Source organism: Homo sapiens, chromosome 8, assembly GCF_000001405.40.
Source record: "Homo sapiens chromosome 8, GRCh38.p14 Primary Assembly".
Taxonomy (NCBI): Eukaryota; Metazoa; Chordata; class Mammalia; order Primates; family Hominidae; genus Homo; species Homo sapiens.
This window is the reverse complement of record NC_000008.11, coordinates 7,213,855-7,236,441: the sequence shown is the minus strand read 5'-3', so window position 1 is coordinate 7,236,441 and position 22,587 is coordinate 7,213,855. Positions and strand designations below refer to the sequence as shown.

Sequence of the window (22,587 nt, the reverse complement as noted above, 5' to 3'; positions counted from 1 at the left end):
CCTGCTGATTGGTCCATTTTACAGAGAGCCTGAGTGGTCTGTTTTGACAGGGCACTGATTGGTGCGTTTACAATCCCTGAGCTAGACACAAATGCTCCCCACGTCCCCACTAGATTAGCTAGATACAGAGTGTCCAAACAAAGGTTCTCCAAGTCCCCACCCTAGTAGCTAGATACAGAGTGTCAATTGGTGCATTCATAAACCCTGAGCTAGACACAGGGTGCTGATTAGTGTGTTTACAAACCTTGAGCTAGATACAGAGTGCCAATTGGTGTATTTCCAATCCCTTACCTAGACATAAAGTTCTACAAGTCCCCACCAGACTCAGGAGCCCAGCTGGCTTCACCCAGTGGACCCAGCACAGGAGCTGCAGGTGGAGCTGCCTGCCAGTCCCTCTCCATGCACCCACACTCCTCAGCCCTTGGGTGGTCGATGGGACTGGGTGCCATGGAGCAGGGGGCGGTGCTCATCGGGGAGGCTTGGGCCGTACAGGAGCCCACAGAGGGGCGAGGCTAAGGAATGGCGGGCTGCAGGTCCCGAGCCCTGCCCCGCAGGGAGGCAGCTAAGGCCCAGTGAGAAGTCGAGCACAGCAGCTGCTGGCCCAGGTGCTAAGCCCCTCACGGCCCGGGCCGGCAAGGCCAGCCGGCAGCTCCTAGTGCAAGGCCGCCAAGCCCACGCCCATCCAGAACTCCAGCCGGCAGGCAAGCAGCACACGTAGCCCCAGTTCCAGCTCATGCCTCTCCCTCCATGCCTCCCTGCAAGCTGAGGGAGCCAGCTCTGACCTTGGCCAGCCCAGAAAGGGGCTCCCACCATGCAGCCGTGGGCTGAAGGGCTCCTCAAGTGCTGCCAAAGTGGGAGCCCAGGCAGAGGAGGTGCCGAGAGTGAACGAGGGCTGTGAGGGCTGCCAGCACGCTGTTACCTCTCATAAGGAGTGATTAATCTGAGCTTCTCCAGAAAGTCCATTCCTGGTAGGCACTGGGAATAAGAAATCTCAGAGTATAAAAAAACATCAAGTGGTAACACTTTTGTGAGTGGCTCCCAAATTAGATCCTTTACCTTTTTTTTCATGAAGCACAGTTGCCCAAAACACGCTTAGCCTGAGGTGAAGCACATATTAGAGAAAAGTTCTCTCTATAGCATTATGTATTACTCAAATGAGCATTAAAAAGAGGAGACGGGACATGCTCTCTCTAGCTATTATTACCTGCACTATAGAGTTGACATACACAAGCTCATTATTGCATTATGTTTTATTCAACAAAATAACTTTAATGTTGAAGCTTAAACTGAATTCGCTAAAACATCTGTCTCCAGCATAGTGTGCCTCAAGTGTCTCCTTGGTGCCTGAATTTTCTCCAGAATTATCGTGCTGAAGCTATGGAAATGGTGAAATTATATGCAATCTGCAAAACAATGTGGCTATAACGTGGTAATTGGCCTTCCACATAATTAAAGGAACATTTCCTCGTCAGAGCTGTTCCATCAGAGACCCAAAGGCTATCGTTGTACAAATCACCCACTTAGGAAAACCTTTATTCCCAGTAGCCTATAAAAATCTGCTTATGCAAACAGATTTGCTTATTCAGTAACATTAATGGCTTCTCATAGTTAAAAAGTCATCAATGTGATTGACCTATAATCTGCTTCCTCTGTGACGAAGTGTCATTTTTATTTTGACAGTTAGGAGCCTTTTGACTCTTTCACAGCTGGCATGAAGGCACAGGGAGGGAAATCTCAAAAACCAACAACCTGTGTATTCCCAGCCTATTAATCAATAGAAAATCACTTCAACTGGATTAGGGTCTTGTACCTGGCAGAAAGGCTCTTATGGACATTGGAATTGGATTTTTACACTTGATATGACACCTCCTTGAGTCAGATCAGATTCGTGTTTGATAGACACTTGCTGAAAAATTGCTCCAGGGTCTGTGCAGTAGCTAAAGCCTTTTTATTGTTGTTGTTTTAAAAGCAGCATTAAATATTTTCATGAAGACCTTCCCAGCAGTTATTTTATTGGGAATATGGTCTTTAGCTCTGGTCCTGAATAACTCACACTGAGGAAACCTCTAACAAGTGTTTTATTGGAAGATGTCTGATGGATGGTTGGTTTTAATAACAAATCTCTTCCCTTTTTCTGTCCCCTGTGTTCTATTCTCCTTTCTTACACATTATTCTGGGAGGATTCACCTATTCCCAAAGTCCTTTCCTCTTTATTTCCATTCCAGAGCTCTCTGTATAACTCCAGGCTGATGAATCCAGCTGCCCAGTTGTTATCTCCACTTGGCTGTCTGTCTTGCATTGACCTCATCTTACCTTTCCTCTCCTGATTTCCTCTTCTGCCAGGGCTCACCACGTCAGATTCACACCACCATCCACCCAGCTTCCAAATCACCTGGGCCTCCTCCTTCATTCCTCCCTCTTTCTCAGTCAAGTTAGTCTACTGTCTCCTCTCCATCCTCACTGCCACAGCCTTGGTCCAGCCAACCATCTTGTCTCACTTGGCGTATTGCAGCCTCCTACCTGGTCTACTCACCACCCACTCTCCTCCAGCCAGACTACTCTTCTTCTAGCACAAAGTGGATCATTACTCCCCTGCATAAAAACATCTACTGTCTCCCTTTGTCTACAGGATAGACACGACAAAGAGCCTTTAAGATTTGCCTCCAACTTACCTCTATATTAGTCACTTTTTACAATTATATGAACATCTCTCAACTCCTCACCCTCCACGTCTCGATTTTTACACATGCTCTTCCCTCTGCTGGGAATGATCTTCCACACCTCTCCTATCAACCTGGCTAGTTCCTTCCATTTTCTAGTCTTCAACTGAGGAGTCCTGTGGTGGAGAAGGATTTCTCACCACCTGATATAGATTGCATGCCCACCCACCTCCGAGCTTTTTCTTTTTTCTTTCTTTTTTTTTTTTTGAAAGAGTCTCGCTCTGACCATGCAGGCTGGAATGCAGTGGTGCGATCTTGGCTCACTGCAATCTCCACCACCCGGGTTCAAGCAATTCTCCCACCTCAGCCTTCTGAGTATCTGGAATTACAGGTGCCCGCCACCACATCTGGCTAATTTTTTTGTATTTTTAGTAAAGACAGGATTTCACCATGTTGGCCAGGCTGTTTTTGAACTCCTGGCCTCAAGTGATCCACCCACCTTGGCCTCCCGAAGTGCTGGGAATACAGGCATGAACAACTGCACCTGGCCGATTGGGTGCCCCTTCTATGTGCTCCCATTGCCCCAGGCATAGTGTCACCATAACTCTTACCATTCTGAGTTGAAAATGATTTTTTTTTTTTTGCTTTTTTTTCTCTCATTAAATGCAAAGCTTATTGAAAAGAGGACAGTGGTTGTTCACTGTTGTACTCCTAACCTTTGACTCAGTGTCCTTAGGTTGGCTCTACAGCTGTGCACACATGTTCAGACATTGGAGCACATCTTGTCTAGCACCTCTTTTGTGGTGGCTTAGAGAAAAGTCAGTAGGTACTTCCCCAAGGATGAAACAGAAGCTTCACCTAAACCAGTTCTTCAACTTCAGCCTGCATTAGAATACTCTGAGAGCTTGTTAAAAATACCATCTCCTGGAGCCCACTCTTCAAGAGTCGGTGAGTTTCTTCATCATCAAAATATACACAGAATTCAGGCAGTCTTCAGCCCCAGCCTGGTCTGAGCCTCTGTGGACTCCCACCTGCAGAATGTCCCTGCTGGTCTCCTTGCTTCTGCTCTTACCTTCTTATTAACCATTCGAGTAGCCGGGGTGATCCTTTTTAAAAATTTTTTTAAATTTTTTTGTGATGAAGTCTCACTCTGTTGCCCAGGCTGGAGTGCAGTGGTGCTATCTCAGCTCGCTGCAGCTCTACCTCCTGGGCTCAAGCAATCCTCCCACCTCAGCCTCCTGGGTAACTGGGACCACAGACATACACCACCACACCCGGCTAATTTTTGTATTTTTTGTAAAGACACGGTCTTGCTATGTTGCCCAGGCTAGTCTTGAACTTCTGTGTGCACCCACCTCAGCCTCCTGAATTTTTAGGAGGCCCCTCTTGTAGGGATTTTGATCCAGATGCCTGGGTGCCTCATGTCTCCTCCCATCTCTCTCTGTCTTTCTGTCTCTGTCTCTCTCTCTCTCTTTCTCTTTGCCTTATAGCTGCCCTGAGGTCTAGACTCTCCCTTAGGCATCCCTCTGGCTCTTGTTTGCTTTTATACTGAGGCTGCTTTAAATTGCACCTTGATCTGAAGCCTTGGGCTTCTGTTCCTATTCCTTGCTTTTGTTGGAAGGGCCGTGCAGCTTCTTGACAAATTGCAAAGGTGCCCACGAGTTTCCAAGTCCCCAAGAACCAAACCAGATGACAAACAAGGATGCAGTCCACAGCTGGGGAGACAGATTTCATGTCCACACAGAGACTCCAAGATGCTGAACTGAAATCCACCTCGAAACCTGTTTTCTCTCTCATTTAAGTTCATTGTCACCTGGGGGCTTGCAGGGCAGAGCTGGTGACCATTCTCAGGGCAAAGATGCTTTGAAATGTCAACTGAGAATGGTGTGGTGGTTGACAGATGGCACGTCAGAGCATAGATTAACATGGAAAGAGAAACTCACCCCTTGTGGGGAGTGTGTGAGGCTGGCAGCCACACAGAGGGCTTTTCCTGTGAGCTCTTGCATAGATGCAAACAGCCAGGAGGTTTTGCTTTCTGATCCTAAGTGGAAGCATGTTCTTCCCTGCAAATTGCCGCTCTGCAGCAAATGTTTATTCCTGTTGCATTGATTAAAAGTGCTTACCAGGCCGGGCGCGGTGGCTCACGCCTGTAATCCCAGCACTTTGGGAGGCCGAGGCAGGCAGATCACAAGGTCAGGAGATTGAGACCATCCTGGCTAACACGGTGAAACCCCGTCTCTACTAAAAATACAAAAAATTAGCCAGGCATGGTGGCGGGCACCTGTAGTCCCAGCTACTTGGGAGGCTGAGGCAGGAGAATGGCATGAACCCAGGAGGCGGGGCTTGCAGTGAGCCGAGATTGTGCCACTGCACTCCAGCCTGGATGACAGAGCAAGACTCCGTCTCAAAAATACAAAGTGCTTACCGAAGTGGTTTGAGGGCAGCGGTGACACTGTGAGTTATGGCTCTGCCGGCTGCCAGTGGAGCCAGCCTCTCTGCACAGCCGTGCAAGGGTGTTTTGAAAAGTGGCTCAGCCGGCCAGGAGTGACTGGCTGTAAATATTGCTGCCAGAACATCTTGTAGCCTGATTGGGGCCGTGTTTGCAGAACCCCTAAACCACTACACTTGTTCAGGCTTAAAAATAAGCTTACTTTTTTTTGTTTGTTTTGTTTTGTTTTATGAGATGGAGTCTAATTCTGTCACCAGGTTGGAATGCAGTGGCATGATCTTGGCCCACTGCAACCTCTGCCTCCTGCGTTCAAGTGATTCTCCTGCCTCAGGCTCCCGAGTAGCTGGGACTATAGGCGTGTGCCATCATGGCCAGCTAATTTTTGAATTTTTAGTACAGACGGGGCTTCACCTTGTTGGCCAGGATGGTGCGATCTCTTGACCTCGTGATCTGCCCGCCTTGGCTTCCCAAAGTGCTAGGATTACAGGCGTGAGCCACCGTGCCTGGTCAAACATAAACTTACTTTCTTACCTCTTCTGCTGAACTCTATGTGCTTCTTTTCGCAACTTCTGCTGAAACTCTATTTTGCTTCTTTTTCCTGGATAAGGCTCTTGTTTATCCAGAAGAACTTTTAGCAACAAAGTTACCCAATGCCCTTCCCTAGTCTCTCCTTGCAACTGGTTTTCAGTGGTGGGGGTGGTGGGTAGGAGGAAATCCTTGACAGAACCAATTTACATGACTGTTTGGAGGACTCTCACTAGCCCCAGGAGGTGTTTACATTTTGAAATTGGTTACTAGTGTCAGAATGTTTCATGAGTAAGAGCACAGCCTCTAAGTTGGATACCCTGAATTTAAGTCTCAACATGGCCATTTTGTATATAAGCAGAGGATGGATTTGGGGACCCAATGGATCTACCATGACATGAACTTGGACCAACATTCACCTGACCTCCAAAATGCCTATTCTGACTGGTAGACCCTAGTCTCGCCCTAGTGCCAGTTCAGAGCCTGTGTCCAGTGGTCTTGCACAGGTCCCATTAGTTCCTTTTCTCCTATTCAGTCATCCCGGTAAAGGCTGTGTATTCCCTTGGGGCCAGGCTGGGAGAAAGATTGACAGTATAAATTTTTGGCAGTGGAGCAGAGTCCTTTCTGGAGGGGACCTGGCTTCCCATTCAGACAAGGGACTCCAGGTCTGTGAACTGGCTTATGTCTGGGAATTGACGGGGGACTGTGACTCTGTTTTTATGATTCAGATTAGACTTCTGCTCACCTGACCTAGAATTCTTCTGCAAACACAGATCCAGTAAAAATGTGGCAGGCTTCTTATCTATTTCAGTTCTAGGAAAGCCACGATCAGCAGGCACCATAGGTCTCTGCGAGTCAGGCTATTCTGGTTGCAGCTTTGACTCTGCTGTCTTTTATGGTAACTGCATCCACCTTGCCTTTGGGGATTGAGTGCTCTGATCACTTGACCCCAGCCCCTGTAGTGTGCGTATGTCACTTACCCTCTTTATACCTCAGTCTCCTCCTCTATAAAATGGGCATCCTCATTGCACCCACCCCCAGGGCTGCTGTGAGGTATAGATGGATTAGCATATGGAAAGTAATAGAAGAGGGTCTCAAAGCCCATGTGTCGTTATCAGAATTATTTCATGATGGGGAGAGCTGGAGGAGAGAGGAAGGTGCTGAGCAGACCCACGTGCTCTCCCACCAGTGTTTCCTGAGCACCTACTATGTGCTGCCCACTGTGAGAGCTGTTAGGGTTGAAATAGGGAGCACAGCAGGATAGGAGCTGCCATTAGGAGCTTAGTGGGGAAACCGTTGTGCAACATGGTTACAGTGCTTGGGGTGGGGAAGGTCAGGGAGTACGGGGGCCTAGGATCCAGGGCAGAATCATGGAAAGGACACAGCCGCCCCAGCCTCCCCTGCCTCCCCTGCCTCCCTGACCTCCTCTGTTCCCTGGCCTCTCCTGCCTTCCTGGCTTCCCCTTCCGCCCCGGCCTCCCCAGTCTCCCCTGTCTTTCCTGCTTTTGAGGTGGGCCAGGAGCTGCTGGTGCTCACTTAGTCTGTCCTGGACTCTGGGTGTAGCACTTCGATGTCCAGAAAATACCCCCGGGTTCAGCTTATCACACAGCCAAGAAAGGAGCTCCACACTGACACTAAGGGTGCATCCTGGGCTCATTCATCAGGACATGCCTCCAAAATATTTCTCCATGTCTCCTCCCTTTGCCCACCTGCATTGTCTCTGTGCCTCAGCCCCAGCTGGGGGCCTGCAAGGATCCTCTATCTCCTCTGCCCCTGCACGGCTGGGTCTCAGACAATCTGTCTGCCCACCACACCTCTCTCCTGTTGCCCACCACGCTCCAGCCCCACAGTCCTCTTTCTGCTTCTTTCCCAGCCTCTGGGCTTTTGCACACGCTGTTCCCTCTGCCTGAACACCCTCCACTGGGCTGAGAACAACTCTCTGAGACCTCTCTCAGCTGTTGCTTCCTTTGGAAAAGCCGCTGCTTCTGTCCCTCTCCCAGCTCAAAGACGTGCTGAGCCTCCTCTCTTTTTCAGTTCCCATGCCCCCAGCACTTCTCCTTGGCCTCCTTTGGCCCAGTTGACAATGTCCATTCTCAATGCCTTCCCACCCAGAGCTGAGCCTCACTGGGTGAAGGCAATGCCTGTCATGTTCTCCACAATATCCCCTCCCCCATCACCACGACTGGTCCACAGTGATGCTCAAAAAAGATCTGTTGGTAGGCAATGGGAAGGTGCATTCATGTCATCCTGCAGGAGGAATTCTCCACGAGTTTTGAGCAGCCTCGGGTTTCCCACCACCTCCAAATCATGGAAGACACAGGGTAAGAGCAAAGACAAGGTGGCTTTGGCCGATGTCCACCCTCTCGTGGCGTCCCTTCTCTTCTCTCCTCCTTGAGCAGGGAGACCATCGGGGTGCAACCTGGCCGGGGCGGGGAGGAGGTGCAGGGCATTGCCAGAGCGGGCCTGTCCATGGGCAAGGGATAGCGACCTCCTGGGCCAGGACATGTGACAGCTGCGCAGGCCTGGGCCCGGCGTGGCGGAGGTGCGCGAGAGCGGCCAGAAGAGGGCGCCAGAGTGCCAGGAGCCGCCCGCGGAGGAGCCCGCACCGGCCCCGATACCCAGCTCCGCGCCACGCGGACCCACCGAGCCCGCGCTCAGACGCCCCAGCTCCGCCGAGAGGCCGCTCGCGCCGTGTCCTTCCTCTTCCCCAAGTTCAGGCAGAGCCCCCGGAGCCATGGCCAGCCCTTCCAGCAGCTCCGAAGACACTGGCAAGCCCCGAGGCAGGGATGGCCGGCCCAGAAGGGAGGAGGAGGAGGACGTCCCTCCCGAAGAGAAGAGGCTGGGGCTGTAGCTGGAGGGGGGAAGCGCACAGCCCGAGGACTGCGAGGACAGGGAGGACCCGCCGCTGCCGGGCACGAAGGAGACCGGCACCCAGACAGGTGGCGACGGCAAAGGAGTAAGTGACGCGGGCGCGGGGGTCCGGGAGTGCCAGGGGCGCGGGGGTGCCGGGGACGCGACGAAGGGACGTCGGGAGGCTCCGTGGCCGTCCCCGGGTTGAAGTTGGGAGTGCAGCCTTCATTCTGAACCCATTTAGGCAGCATGGGCAGCCCTCCTCGCCATGGGCAGGATCAGAGCCCCCCCGCCCAGTCTTGGGGTTGCTCCTGGATGCTGTCTGGGAGGCTTGCTCATGGTGACATCCTCATCTCCCCGTCCACGTTACCGCATTCAGAGCTTGGGTCACCTGGACACTGAACTCAGGTGAATTTTCTCTGAGATCCCGGGAGAAGGAGGACAGTTCTTTGGAAGGTTTTCCAGGGCCGATCACGGAAAGGATGAGAAGGGAGAGGTCCTGGTCGGGGACACAATTATGGTGGCAGTGTAACGCCGGGAAACTTTATTGCATGAAGTCCCTCTCACTCCCTCTACCTCCCTCTTTTACGTGGACTCTGCCAAAGACCAGGATACCAGAATGCGGTGGAGAGGCCAAGTGTAGTGAGACCTTGGGAATGCGATTCTGGAGCCAGGCGGCTGGGGTTTGCATCCTGGTTCTGCCCTTCCTTAGCTGGCTGACATGGCACAAGCCACTTACCCTGTCTGAGCCTTACTGTCTTCAGTGGCAAATGGATCTGTCAACAGGCTCCATTGCCTGGGGTTGTTGCTGCTGAGATTAAGGGAAGCTCGTCCATAGAAGCACTTAGCGTTGTGCCTGGCACATAGTGTATGGTGGATAAGTGGGACTTAAGACTAAAACTCATGCCCTGATGTGTTTTTGCAGTGATGTTTTGTTCTGGAGTACTTCACAAGAGACAAGGTCCTTGGCTGGGCATGGTGGCTGAAGCCAATAATCCCAGCACTTTGAGAGGCCGAAGGGGGAGGATCGCTTGAGCCCAGGAGTTTAAGACCAGCCTGGGCAACATGGTGAAGCCTCATATCTACCAAAAAAAAAAAAAAAAAAAAAAAAAAGGCAGTTATGGTGGTGTGTGCCTGCAGTCCCAAGTACTTGGGAGGCTGAGGTGGGAGGATTGCTAGAGCCTGGAAGGTTGGGTTGCAGTGAGCTGTGATCACGCCACTGCACTTCAGCCTGGGTGACAAAGTGAGACCGTTTCAAGGAAAAGAGAGAGAGAGACAGACAGACCCACAAGAGTCTTAAGCCAGAATCTCCATGTTAAAATGCTTTCTGGAGGCTAAAAGGATGATATGTTGATAATGAAATGTTTAAAAGGCAGAAACCCCGCTGAATTTTTTGGTCCACAGAGGGAAATGGGAATAGCATGACCTGAAGGATGATGGATGAACTGAATAGAAACCATCCTTGTTTCCTGAATCTGAACATGGCACCCTCTTTTCACGGTGCCTGTATCTGCTCAGTCCGGCAGCCCCTTGAAAAGAGGGAATCTTGATTTTCAAACTTAAAATTTGGCCCAAAGCTTGCTGCTGCCCACAATGCCCGCCAGACACATTCCTCTTCCCTTTTAGTTCCTATGGGAATACTCTCTTTGAAGAACCCATGAAGCAGTGTCAGGCTGGTACGAGGATCAGCAGTGATTTCTTTGAGGAGGAGAGCCCGTTTCTTCACTCACAGGCCATGTCTGAGTGGATCAAGAAGAACAGAGTGCCCTTTTATGAGATTTTGTCTGCGTAGACCACTAGCTTGGTAAAAATGTCAAAACCATCCTCGTTCTTTAATAACAGATTATTTTGGACTTTTCTCTGCAAGAAGCAGCATGGGCATTCAGATGCTTTTAAGGATAAAATGTTCTTTCTCATCACCAGGCCTGGTGCTCTGGATGGCTGAGGTTTTAATGTGACTGGATGTCCCTTGGAGTGGCTCCCAGGCTGTGCTCTTGTGGTTGGGTGGCAAGCGGTTGCTTTATTCGGTGGTGGCTAGAGGATGTTTTAGCAGATTAATCGGGACCCCAGGAGCCCTTGAGTGTCAAGTCCTGCTGCAGGGCATGTGTTTATGGTGGGGAGGTGGGGGAGGGGGGAGGATGGGGGCATTGATTTCCTCCCAATATCAGAAGTTTCACAGGCTTCTTGTTTATCCACAAACACCCACCCCATTGAGAAGGCCTAGAAAATCTGCCCCTCCTCAAGCCTTTATTGACCGCTTGTGAATGATCCCAGTGTGTGTCTGACCCACAGCTCCTCCTGGAGGGAGAGAAAAGTCTCTCCTAGGTATTTGGTTGTCAACCTCAACTGCTTGCTGAGCCTTCCCCAAGACCAGGCACCTTGGCAGAGATTTCTGGGTTGTCAGGCAGAACCGAGCATTCGAGGGTGATAACTCACTGGAGTCCCTGAAATCCCTGATGGACGCACCAGGTAAAAGCATCCAGGGTTGAAACCAGATCAGGAAGGTTATTGTCAGCCTGGGGCTCCTGTAGAGGTGCATCCACGTTGCAGGGATTGTCCTTTTTGCTGAGGAGAAACCTGGGTTTCTCAGCTTTGGCACAGTCAGAATATTTGTGGTGAGACCATTCGTGGTGCTGGTGGTGGGGCTGTCCTGTGTATTGAAGGATGGTTAGCAGCATCTGTGGTCTCCATCCTCTAGGTGCCATTCTACCTTCCCTGCTATGGCTACCCCAGACGTCTCCAGATGGTTTCAAATAATGTGGGGCAAGGGAGCGGTACGTGAGCAAAACCACCCCAGTTGAGAGCCATTGGTCTACACTTGTGGAAATGTTTGAGGGTGAGAGTGTCGAGCTTGGGTCCCTGCTGTACCCTTTATGAGCAATGCGGTCTTGTAAAATTAATACTACTCCAGGGGCCTCAGTTTTCTCATCTATAAAATGGAGATAAATGAGATACACTTTGATAGGAAGGTTATATGGGATTCACCGAGATAATAAGACAGTACATGGAAAATGCTGGGTATAGCATTTATTTATTTTAATTTTTTTTTAAGACAGAGTCTTACTCTGTTGCCCAGGTTGGAGTGCAGTGGCATGATCTCCGCTCACTGCAACCTCCACCTCCTGGGTTCAAGTGATTCTCCTGCCTCAGGCTCCCGAGTAACTGGGACTACAGGCGTGCGCTATCATGCCCATCTAATTTTTGAATTTTTAGTAGAGATGGGGCTTCACCATGTTGGCCAGGATAGTCCGATCTCTTGACCTCGTGATCTGCCCGCCTGGGCCTTCCCAAGTGCTGGGATTACAGGCGTGAGCCACCGTGCCTGGCCAAACATAAACTTACTTTCTTACCTCTTCTGCTGAACTCTATTTGCTTCTTTTCCCAAATGTCTTTATCCAGAAGAGCTTTTAGCAACAAAGTTACCCAATGCCCTTCCCTAGTCTCTCCTTGCAACTGGCTCTCAGCAGTGGGTGGGAGGAAATCCTTGACAGAACCAATTTACATGACTGTTTGGAGGACTCTGGCTAGCCCCAGGAGGTGTTTACATTTTTAAATTGGTTACTAGTGTCAGAATGTTTCATGAATAAGAGCCCAGCCTCTATGTTGGATGCCCTGAATTTGAATCTCAGCATTGCCGCTTTGTATATAACCAGAGGATGGATTTGGGGACCCAATGGACCTACCGTGACATGAACTTGCACCAACATTCACCTGACCTTCAAAATGCCTATTCTGACTGGTAGACCCTAGTCTCATCCTAGTGCCAGTTCAGAGCCTGTGTCCAGTGATCCTGCACAGGTTCCATTAGTTCCTTTTCTCCTGTTCAGTCATCCTAGCAAAAGGCTGTTTATTCCCTTGGGAGCAGGCTGGGAGAAAGATTGACAGTATAAATTTTTGGCAGTGTAGCAGAGTCCTTTCTGGAGGGGACCTGGCTTCCCATTCACACAAGGGACTCCGAGTCTGTGAACTGGCTTATGTCTGGAAATTGACCGGGGACTGTGACTCTGTTTTTATTAATCAGATTAGACTTCTGCTCACTTGACCTAGAACACTTCTGCAAACACAGTTCCAGTAAAAATGTGGCAGGCTTCTTATCTATTTCACTTCTAGGAAAGCCAGGATCAACAGGCACCATAGGTCGCTGCGAGTCAGGCTATTCTGGTTGCAGCTTTGACTCTGCTGTCTTTTATGGTAACTGCATCCACCTTGCCTTTGGGGATTGAGTGCTCTGATCACTTGACCCCAGCCCCTGTAGTGTGCGTATGTCACTTACCCTCTTTATACCTCAGTCTCCTCCTCTATAAAATGGGCATCCTCATTGCACCCACCCCCAGGGCTGCTGTGAGGTATAGATGGATTAGCATATGGAAAGTAATAGAAGAGGGTCTCAAAGTCCATGTGTCGTTATCAGAATTATTTCGTGACAGGGGAGAGCTGGAGGAGAGAGGAAGGTGCTGAGCAGACCCACGTGCTCTCCCACCAGTGTTTCCTCAGCACCTACTATGTGCTGCCCACTGTGAGAGCTGTTAGGGTTGAAACAGGGAGCACAGCAGGGTAGGGGCTGCCATCAGGAGCTTAGTGGGGAGACCATTGTGCAACATGGTTCCAGCGCTTGGGGTGGGGAAGCTCAGGGAGTTCAGGGGCCTAGGATCGAGGGCAGAATCATGGAAAGGACATAACCTCCCCAGCCTCTCCTGCCTCCATTGCCTCCCGGGCCTCCTCTGCTTCCCTGGCCTCTCCTACCTTCCTGGCTTCCCCTTCCGCCCCGGCCTCCTCAGTCTCCCCTGTCTCTCCTGCTTTTGAGGTGGGCCAGGAGCTGCTAGTGCTCACTTAGCCTGTCCTGGGCTCTTGGTGTAGCACCTCAATGTCCAGAAAATACCCCCGAGTTCAGCTCATCACACAGTCAAGGAAGGAGCTCCACACTGACACTAAGGGTGCATCCTGGGCTCATTCATCAGGGCATGCCTCCAAAATATTTCTCCACGTCTCCTCCCTTTGCCCACCTGCACTGTCTCTGTGCCTGAGCCCCGGCTGGGGGCCTGCAAGGATCCCGTATCTCCTCTGCCCCTGCACGGCTGGGTCCCAGGCAATCTGTCTGCCCACCACACCTTCCTCCCCTTGCCCACCATGCTCCAGCCCCACAGTCCTCTTTCTGCTTCTTTCCCAGCCTCTGGGCTTTTGCACACGCTGTTCCCTCTGCCTGAACACCCTCCACTGGGCTGAGAACAACTCTCTGAGACCTCTCTCAGCTGTTGCTTCCTTTGGAAAAGCCGCTGCTGCTGTCCCTCTCCCAGCTCAAAGACGTGCTGAGCCTCCTCTCTTTTTCAGTTCCCATGCCCCCAGCACTTCTCCTTGGCCTCCTTTGGCCCAGTTGACAATGTCCATTCTCAATGCCTTCCCACCCAGAGCTGAGCCTCACTGGGTGAAGGCAATGCCTGTCATGTTCTCCACAATATCCCCTCCCCCATCACCACGACTGGTCCACAGTGATGCTCAAAAAAGATCTGTTGGTAGGCAATGGGAAGGTGCATTCATGTCATCCTGCAGGAGGAATTCTCCACGAGTTTTGAGCAGCCTCGGGTTTCCCACCACCTCCAAATCATGGAAGACACAGGGTAAGAGCAAAGACAAGGTGGCTTTGGCCGATGTCCACCCTCTCGTGGCGTCCCTTCTCTTCTCTCCTCCTTGAGCAGGGAGACCATCGGGGTCCAACCTGGCCGGGGTGGGGAGGAGGTGCAGGGCATTGCCAGAGAGGGCCTGTCCATGGGCAAGGGACAGCGACCTCCTGGGCCAGGACATGTGAGAGCTGCGCAGGCCTGGGCCCGGCGTGGCGGAGGTGCGCGAGAGCGGCCAGAAGAGGGCGCCAGAGAGCCAGGCGCGGCCCGCGGAGGAGCCCGCGCCGGCCCCTATACCCAGCTCCGCGCCGCGCGGACCCACCGAGCCCGCGCTCAGACGCCCCAGCTCCGCCGAGAGGCCGCTCGCGCCGTATCCTTCCTCTTCTCCAGGTGCAGGCAGAGCCCCCGAGCCATGGCCAGCCCTTCCGGCAGCTCCGAAGCCACTGGCAAGCCCCGAGGCAGGGATGGCCGGCCCAGGAGGGAGGAGGACGACGTCCCTCCGGAAGAGAAGAGGCTGCGGCTGTAGCTGGAGAGGGGAAGCGCACAGCCCGAGGACTGCGAGAACGGGGAGGACGCGCCGCGGCCAGGCAGGGAGGAGACCGGCACCCAGACAGGTGGCGACCGCAGAGGAGTAAGTGACGCGGGCGCTGGGGTCCGGGGGTGCCGGGGGCGCCGGTAGGGGCGGCGGGAGGCTCCGTGGCCGGCCCCGGGTTGAAGTTGGTATTTTAGCTGCAACTCCGAAGGGCGCGGAGTGACAGCGCGTGACGGCCTCCGAGATGCCAGCTGCCGCTTCTCGGCTGTGTGGCTTTGACTTCCTGATTCTCCCACGACGTCCCTGGCTGGGAGACCCACTGGACTCTGCGGCTGGCCAAAAAGAGAGGGGCAGCCCCGCGTCCTGGGGGCCCCTAGCAGGGGAAGTGGCGGGTGTTGCGCTGGGCATCCTGTCTGGGGCATCTGTCTGGGACCCTGTCGGTGCCTCTCACCTGGCGAGGGGCCAGTGGTGGGGGTAGGGGGGAAGTCCCTGGCGCCAGGCTTGGCCAAGCCCTGCTCGGCTGGACTGCGGGCTGGCGGCGCTCACCCAGCTCCTCACCTGTCCCGCATCTTCCTGTTCTTCTTCCCTTTCTGGTTGGGCAGCAAGAGTTGAGAGGAGGCAGATGGCTTCCATCCCAGAAATCGCTCTCCTCTTTCCATCCCTACAGAGAGGGACAGAGAGGCAAAGTTCCTTGCATCCCCGGGGCGCTGTCCCTGTGAGCTCCCGGTGTCCTGCAAACGTTGGCCCCTGAATCACCGGGCCAGTGTGTGTGGGATGGGGCTGCGTAGCCAGGCTGGCCTCCTGGGGTTCACTTTCTGCTTTCCTACCCCAACTCTTCCTGTGTGGCTTTGCTGGCCTTCCACTGGGGAGGCATGTGGGTTTGGAGGGCAGATGAGGGCCAGCTGGAGAACTGTACCCCTCAGTGAGGGCCGCCACCTTGATGGTTTTTAATGGATAATGGGGTTGACCTCTTTGTTCCTTCCACATGTTTTTATGTTTGACCATTTGCTCAGCTGAGCTTGTCTTAATAATTGGATTCATGGTTAATGAGCCCCACATGGGAGAGAGGGCGGTCTTCATTCTGAACCCATTTAGGCAGCATGGGCAGCCCTCCTCGCCGTGGGCGGCATCAGAGCCCCCCCGCCCAGTCTTGGGGTTGCTCCTGGATGCTGTCTGGGAGGCTTGCTCATGGTGACATCCTCTTCTCCCCATCCACGTTACCGCATTCAGAGCTTGGGTCACCTGGACACTGAACTCAGGTGAATTTTCTCTGAGATCCCGGGAGAAGGAGGACAGTTCTTTGGAAGGTTTTCCAGGGCCGATCACGGAAAGGATGAGAAGGGAGAGGTCCTGGTCGGGGACACAATTATGGTGGCAGTGTAACGCCGGGAAACTTTATTGCATGAAGTCCCTCTCACTCCCTCTACCTCCCTCTTTTACGTGGACTCTGCCAAAGACCAGGATACCAGAATGCGGTGGAGTGACCAAGTGTAGTGAGACCTTGGGAACGCGATTCTGGAGCCAGGTGGCTGGGGTTTGCATTCTGGTTCTGCCCCTCCTTAGCTGGCTGACATGGCACAAGCCACTTACCCTGTCTGAGCCTTACTGTCTTCAGTGGCAAATGGATCTGTCAACAGGCTCCATTGCCTGGGGTTGTTGCTGCTGAGATTAAGGGAAGCTCGTCCATAGAAGCACTTAGCGTTGTGCCTGGCACATAGTGTATGGTGGATAAGTGGGACTTAAGACTAAAACTCATGCCCTGATGTGTTTTTGCAGTGATGTTTTGTTCTGGAGTACTTCACAAGAGACAAGGTCCTTGGCTGGGCATGGTGGCTGAAGCCAATAATCCCAGCACTTTGAGAGGCCGAAAGGGGGGGATCACTTGAGCCCAGGAGTTTAAGACCAGCCTGGGCAACATGGTGAAGCCTCATATCTACCAAAAAAAAAAAAAAAAAAAAAAAAAGGCAGTTATGGTGGTGTGTGCCTGCAGTCCCAAGTACTTGGGAGGCTGAGGTGGGAGGATTGCTAGAGCCTGGAAGGTTGGGTTGCAGTGAGCTGTGATCACGCCACTGCACTTCAGCCTGGGTGACAAAGTGAGACCGTTTCAAGGAAAAGAGAGAGAGAGACAGACAGACCCACAAGAGTCTTAAGCCAGAATCTCCATGTTAAAATGCTTTCTGGAGGCTAAAAGGATGATATGTTGATAATGAAATGTTTAAAAGGCAGAAACCCCGCTGAATTTTTTGGTCCACAGAGGGAAATGGGAATAGCATGACCTGAAGGATGATGGATGAACTGAATAGAAACCATCCTTGTTTCCTGAATCTGAACATGGCACCCTCTTTTCACGGTGCCTGTATCTGCTCAGTCCGGCAGCCCCTTGAAAAGAGGGAATCTTGATTTTCAAACTTAAAATTTGGCCCAAAGCTCGCTGCTGCCCACAATGCCCGCCAGACACATTCCTCTTCCCTTTTAGTTCCTATGGGAATACTCTCTTTGAAGAACCCATGAAGCAGTGTCAGGCTGGTACGAGGATCAGCAGTGATTTCTTTGAGGAGGAGAGCCCGTTTCTTCACTCACAGGCCATGTCTGAGTGGATCAAGAAGAACAGAGTGCCCTTTTATGAGATTTTGTCTGCGTAGACCACTAGCTTGGTAAAAATGTCAAAACCATCCTCGTTCTTTAATAACAGATTATTTTGGACTTTTCTCTGCAAGAAGCAGCATGGGCATTCAGATGCTTTTAAGGATAAAATGTTCTTTCTCATCACCAGGCCTGGTGCTCTGGATGGCTGAGGTTTTAATGTGACTGGATGTCCCTTGGAGTTGCTTCCAGGCAGTGCTCTTGTGGTTGGGTCGCAAGGGGTTGCTTTATTCGGTGGTGGCTAGAGGAGGTTTTAGCAGATAAATCGGGACCCCAGGAGCCCCTGAGTGTCAAGTCCTGCTGCAGGGCATGTGTTTATGGTGGGGAGGTGGGGGTGGGGGTGGAGGATGGGGGCATTGATTTCCTGCCAATATCAGAAGTTTCACAGGCTTCTTGTGTATCCACAAACACCCACCCCATTGAGAAGGCCTAGAAAATCTGCCCCTCCCCAAGCCTTTATTGACCGCTTGTGAATGATCCCAGTGTGTGTCTGACCCACAGCTCCTCCTGGAGGGAGAGAAAAGTCTCTCCTAGGTATTTGGTTGTCAACCTCAACTGCTTGCTGAGCCTTCCCCAAGACCAGGCACCTTGGCAGAGATTTCTGGGTTGTCAGGCAGAACCGAGCATTCGAGGGTGATAACTCACTGGAGTCCCTGAAATCCCTGATGGACGCACCAGGTAAAAGCATCCAGGGTTGAAACCAGATCAGGAAGGTTATTGTCAGCCTGAGGCTCCTGTAGAGGTGCATCCACGTTGCAGGTATTTTCCTTCTTGCTGAGGAGAAACCTGGATTTCTCAGCTTTGGCACAGTCACAACATTTGGGGTGAGACCATTCGTGGTGGTGGTGGGGGGGCATCCTGTGTATTGTAGGACGGTTAGCAGCATCTGTGGTCTCCATCCTCTAGGTGCCATTCTACCCTCCCAGCTATGGCTACCCCAGATGTCTGCAGATGGTTTCAATGCTGTGGGGCAAGGGAGTGGTACGTGAGCAAAACCACCACAGTTGAGAGCCATTGGTCTACACTTGTGGAAATGTTTGAGGGTGAGAGTGTCGAGCTTGGGTCCCTGCTGTACCCTTTATGAGCAATGCTGTCTTGGAAAATTAATACTACTCCAGGGGCCTCAGTTTTCTCATCTATAAAATGGAGATAAATGAGATACACTTTCATAGGAAGGTTATATGGGATTTACTGAGATAATAAGACAGTACATGGAAAATACTGGGCATAGCCTTTATTTATTTAATTTTTTTTTAAGACAGAGTCTTACTCTGTTGCCCAGGCTGGAGTACAGTGACATGATCTCTGCTCACTGCAACCTCCACGTCCTGGGCTCAAGTGATTCTCCTGCCTCAGCCTCCAGAGTAGCTGGGATTACAGGTGCCCACCACCACACCTGGCTAATTTTTGTATTTTTAGTAGAGATGGGGTTTCACCATGTTGGGCAGGCTGATCTCAAACTTCTGACCTCAGGTGATCCGCCTGCCTCGGCCTCCCAAGTTGCTGAGATCACAGGTGTGAGCCAGCACACTGGGCTTGTCATCGCATTGTAACACAGACAAAGCACAAAATACTTGGACAATATATTTTTACATTTGGCTTGTCTAGACTCCATCCTCCATCCTCTCGTGCACTGGTGTGGTGCAGACCAGAATATCGCCCTCCTAGACTGCAGAGTGGATTTGGGTGGCATCTTGGCTTTCTGCACAAGACTTGCCTGCTCCCCACCACATCCCCCTGGTTCTCAGGGTCCAGGATTCCAGGAGGCCGGGATGTGGGTAGACAGGTCAGGTGGCCCACCCAGTTCACTCTCACACTGGGGACCTGCAGAGCCAGCTCCCTGAGACAGGGTGTTTTGACCAACATCTGGGTTTTTGGATTTCCATTTGAGCACAGCTGGACTACACAGGCTGAAGTTCTCTGCCGAGATATAGATATTTCCCTGGCGATGATCTTTCAAGTTGACATGAAGACATGGCCACCCGCTGGAACGTCGTGGGTCTGCCGTGGCGCTCTTGTAATTTGTGAGGCAGGCTCCTGATGAATGCAGTGAGTAAGTGGGAAATGGTAGGATGTTCTCCCATCCTCCCCTTGCCGAAAGTGCTGCCTGCGCAGGTTGGTGGACGGTCCTTTGAGCAGGAAGAAGACACGGAGCACATTCCTGTTAGCTACGACAGAGAGGGGCAGGGTACACACTGGACATTTCAAGCCCCTGTAGAGAAGCAAGTCTTACTGTGCTGGGAGTACTTGTGGAGTGGGGGCTGTGTTGCCCTGGGCTTTAATTATTTCAGGAACATTTAACCACAGGGCCAGCAGGCTGGATCTTGATATGTGTTTCTCAGTTGGAAAGATTTTGGACCATAGAGAAATGTCTTCTCAATTCTTTTAATTTCATTAAGGTGGTCATTTTTCTTCTTGTGGCCTCTGGAATGTGACACAGAACTCAAGGGACAGGAAGGAGATGAGTTGGAGGCTGGGACAGGGGTCCCTGCCAGGGATGCTGGTGACTCACGTGACGGTGTTGATGTGTGGAGTCCGGTGCCTGGTTTGGGGAATTTTCGTGGGATATGTTCCAAAGGACTGATGGACCTATCAGGTACTGGAGGTGAATGGTCAAGTCTGATCTCAGGGCTGACAGTGTCAGGCAAGGACAGGAAGTTGGCATTGGTCTCATTGGCTGAGGTTGCTGGGGACCCAGGGGGCAATGTGTGCCAGGACAGATGGGTCTGGGGCTAGGAAGGCAGGTTTGGGCTGGCGACCCGGGCTTGGGATGCATCCCAGGTAGACAGTGGTTGAGGCTGTGGAAATGACGGCGATTGCCTGGGATGAGAGTGGAGACAGACAAGATGGGGGTTTTGCTTTAAGCCTGGGGAGCCCACCTCCCAGGTTCAAGCGATTCTCCTGCCTCAGTTTCCCAAGTAGCTGGGAATGCAGGTGCGTGCCACCATGCCTGACTAACTTTTGTATTCTTAGTAGAGATGAGGTTTGACCAGGCTGGTCTCAAACTCCTGACCTCAAGTGATCGGCCCACCTTGGCCTCCCAAAGTGCTGGGATTACAGGCATGAGCCACCATGCCTGACCATTTTTAAATATTAATTTTTATGCAATATTTTCAAACACATTTTACTGTACATTGGAAAAGTGAATCATGATTTGAAAACTTTATAAAAATCCAATCAAATATCAATTAACCATTTAATTGTGGATAAGTAAGGAGACTATTTTGACCAAAACATGTTAGAACAATTACCACTTATAGAAATAATCTGTGTTTTAATGTTTTAGTTGAATTAAACAATCTTTTATATTCTGTCCAGGTGCAGTGGTTCACACCTGTAATCCCAGCACTTTGGGAGGCCGAGGCTGGCGGATCACCTAAGGTCAGGAGTTCGAGACCAGCCTGGTCAACATGGCAAAACTGTCTCTACTAAAAATACAGAAATTAGCCAGGTGTGATGGCACACACCTGCAATCCCAGCTACTTGGGAGGCTGAGGCAGGAGAATCGTTTGCACCTGGGAGACAGAGGTTGCAGTCAGCCGAGATGGAACCACTGTACTTCAGCCAGCCTGGGTGACAGAGCGAGACTCTGTTTCAAAAATAAATAAATAAATAAAATAGAATTCTGAATTTTATTTTTAACAATTATTTTTGTAAAGAGAATGTCTTGTTTTTTGGAGTTGTTGAATTTATTGAATTGGCAAAAATTATGTACAAGAGGGTATACAACATGATGTGATTGAGGTATGTATACATTATGAAATGGCTAAATCAAGGTAAATAACATATCACCTCCCAGACTTACTTTTTGGGGTGAGAACACTTAAACAATCTACTCTCTTAGTGATTTCCAAGTATATGATATGTTGTTATTAACTATAGGTACCTTGTTGTCCCATGGATCTCCTGAACTTATTCTTCTCTAAAAATGACATTCTGTGTCCTTTGGCATCTGCCCACTTCCCCACCCTGGCAACCATCATTCTACTCTGCTTCTGTGAATTCAACTTTTTTCTTCTCTTTTTTTTTTTTTCCTTTTTTTTGGAGAAAATCTCCTTCTATTGCCCAGGCTGTAGTGCAGGGTTGTGATCATGGCTCACTGCAGCCTTGAGGTCCCAAGTTCAATCAATCCTTCCACCTCAGCCTCCTGAGTATCTGGGAGTACAGGCATGCACTACCATGCTCCACTAATTTTTGTATTTTTTGTAGAGATGGGGTATTGCTATGTTATGCAGGCTGGTCTCGAACTCCTGGGCTCAAGCAATCCTCTGGTCTCAGCCTCCCAAAGTGCTGGGATTACAGGCGTGAGCCACCATGCCTGGCCGAGTTCAACTTTTTTAGATTCCACATGTAAGTGAGATCATGTGGTATTTGTCGTTCTGTGCCTGGCTTATTTCACTTAACATAATATCCTCCAGGCTCATCCATGTTGTCTCAAATGGCAGGATTTCCTTCTTTTTGAAGACTGAATAGTATTCCATTGTGTACATACACCACATTGTTGCTGGAAGTTTAATGGAGGCCAGTTGGGGGAGGATGGGGAGAAGATTCACTCTAAGTCTAGATGCTCCAGTACCCACCCAGGATGTGTGCAAGGAAGTGCAGGATGCTCCTGGTCTTGCAAACTGTGGTTTGTGGGACTCCAAAGCCCCTATCCTTCCACGATGCTTTCTGTCCTGTTATCACATTTCCTTGGAGGAGAACCCAGCCTTGGTGGAGAGCCCTGCTCTGGCTTTGTCCCTTGGCATGAGATGGCAAAGGATGGTGCCGCTGGGAGACCCTCACATCTGCACACTGGGGGCTGTTTGCCTTCTCCATTCCTCCTTCAAGTATCTGAGCAGCTCCTGTGTGCCAGCTGCTGGTCTACAAGATGGATGGGTCCTTGGAGATCACCCTGTAGCAGAGGAGGCAGGCTATAGCCCACAGGCCAGAACCAGCCCCCTGCCTGTTCACACAAATAAAGTTTTATTGGAACACAGCCACACCCATTTCAGTGCCTATTGTCTGTGGCTGCTTTCCTGCTACAATGGAGAGTGGAGAGTTGAATAGTTGGGACAGAGACCTATGGCCTGCAAAGATGAACTATTTACCATCTGGCCCTGGAGAGAAAGGAAAAAAATGCTGATCCTTGTACCCCGACAGTCTTAGGTTAAGAGGACTTCGTACCACTCTGACGTCCCAGGCGGCCATGAGTCCAGCCACCCTTGAAATGTACACAAGTCTGGGCTGAGGTTGCAGCAGGTGAGGCCCAATTTTGCAGGTCTTTGGTATCAGGGGCACAACCCAGGATTTTGTGTGGGGTTTCTTCCTCACT

The 22,587-nt window shown here is 51.1% G+C and overlaps 1 long non-coding RNA gene and 1 other non-coding gene across 2 annotated transcripts, besides 1 other annotated feature; both read left to right on the top strand.

The window, feature by feature from the left end:
- The first annotated feature begins 8,253 nt into the window (after positions 1-8,253).
- On the top strand, positions 8,254-20,920 carry LOC101928095 (uncharacterized). The gene is made up of 3 exons (NR_168401.1): positions 8,254-8,589; positions 14,489-14,729; positions 20,592-20,920. It is a non-coding gene; the product is annotated as an uncharacterized LOC101928095 (long non-coding RNA).
- Positions 14,585-15,331: an enhancer, noted in NCBI's record as "H3K4me1 hESC enhancer chr8:7078633-7079379 (GRCh37/hg19 assembly coordinates)". NCBI's record gives its function as "activates a minimal SCP1, AML or CMV promoter by ChIP-STARR-seq in naive H9 embryonic stem cells {active_cell/tissue: H9 hESC(naive)}" and the evidence as "EXISTENCE:reporter gene assay evidence [ECO:0000049][PMID:30033119]".
- LOC124901876 (uncharacterized) lies at positions 15,230-20,220 on the top strand. The gene is made up of 4 exons (XR_007060792.1): positions 15,230-15,889; positions 17,107-17,284; positions 17,775-18,316; positions 19,170-20,220. It is a non-coding gene; the product is annotated as an uncharacterized LOC124901876 (transcript).
- Positions 20,921-22,587: the final 1,667 nt, after the last annotated feature.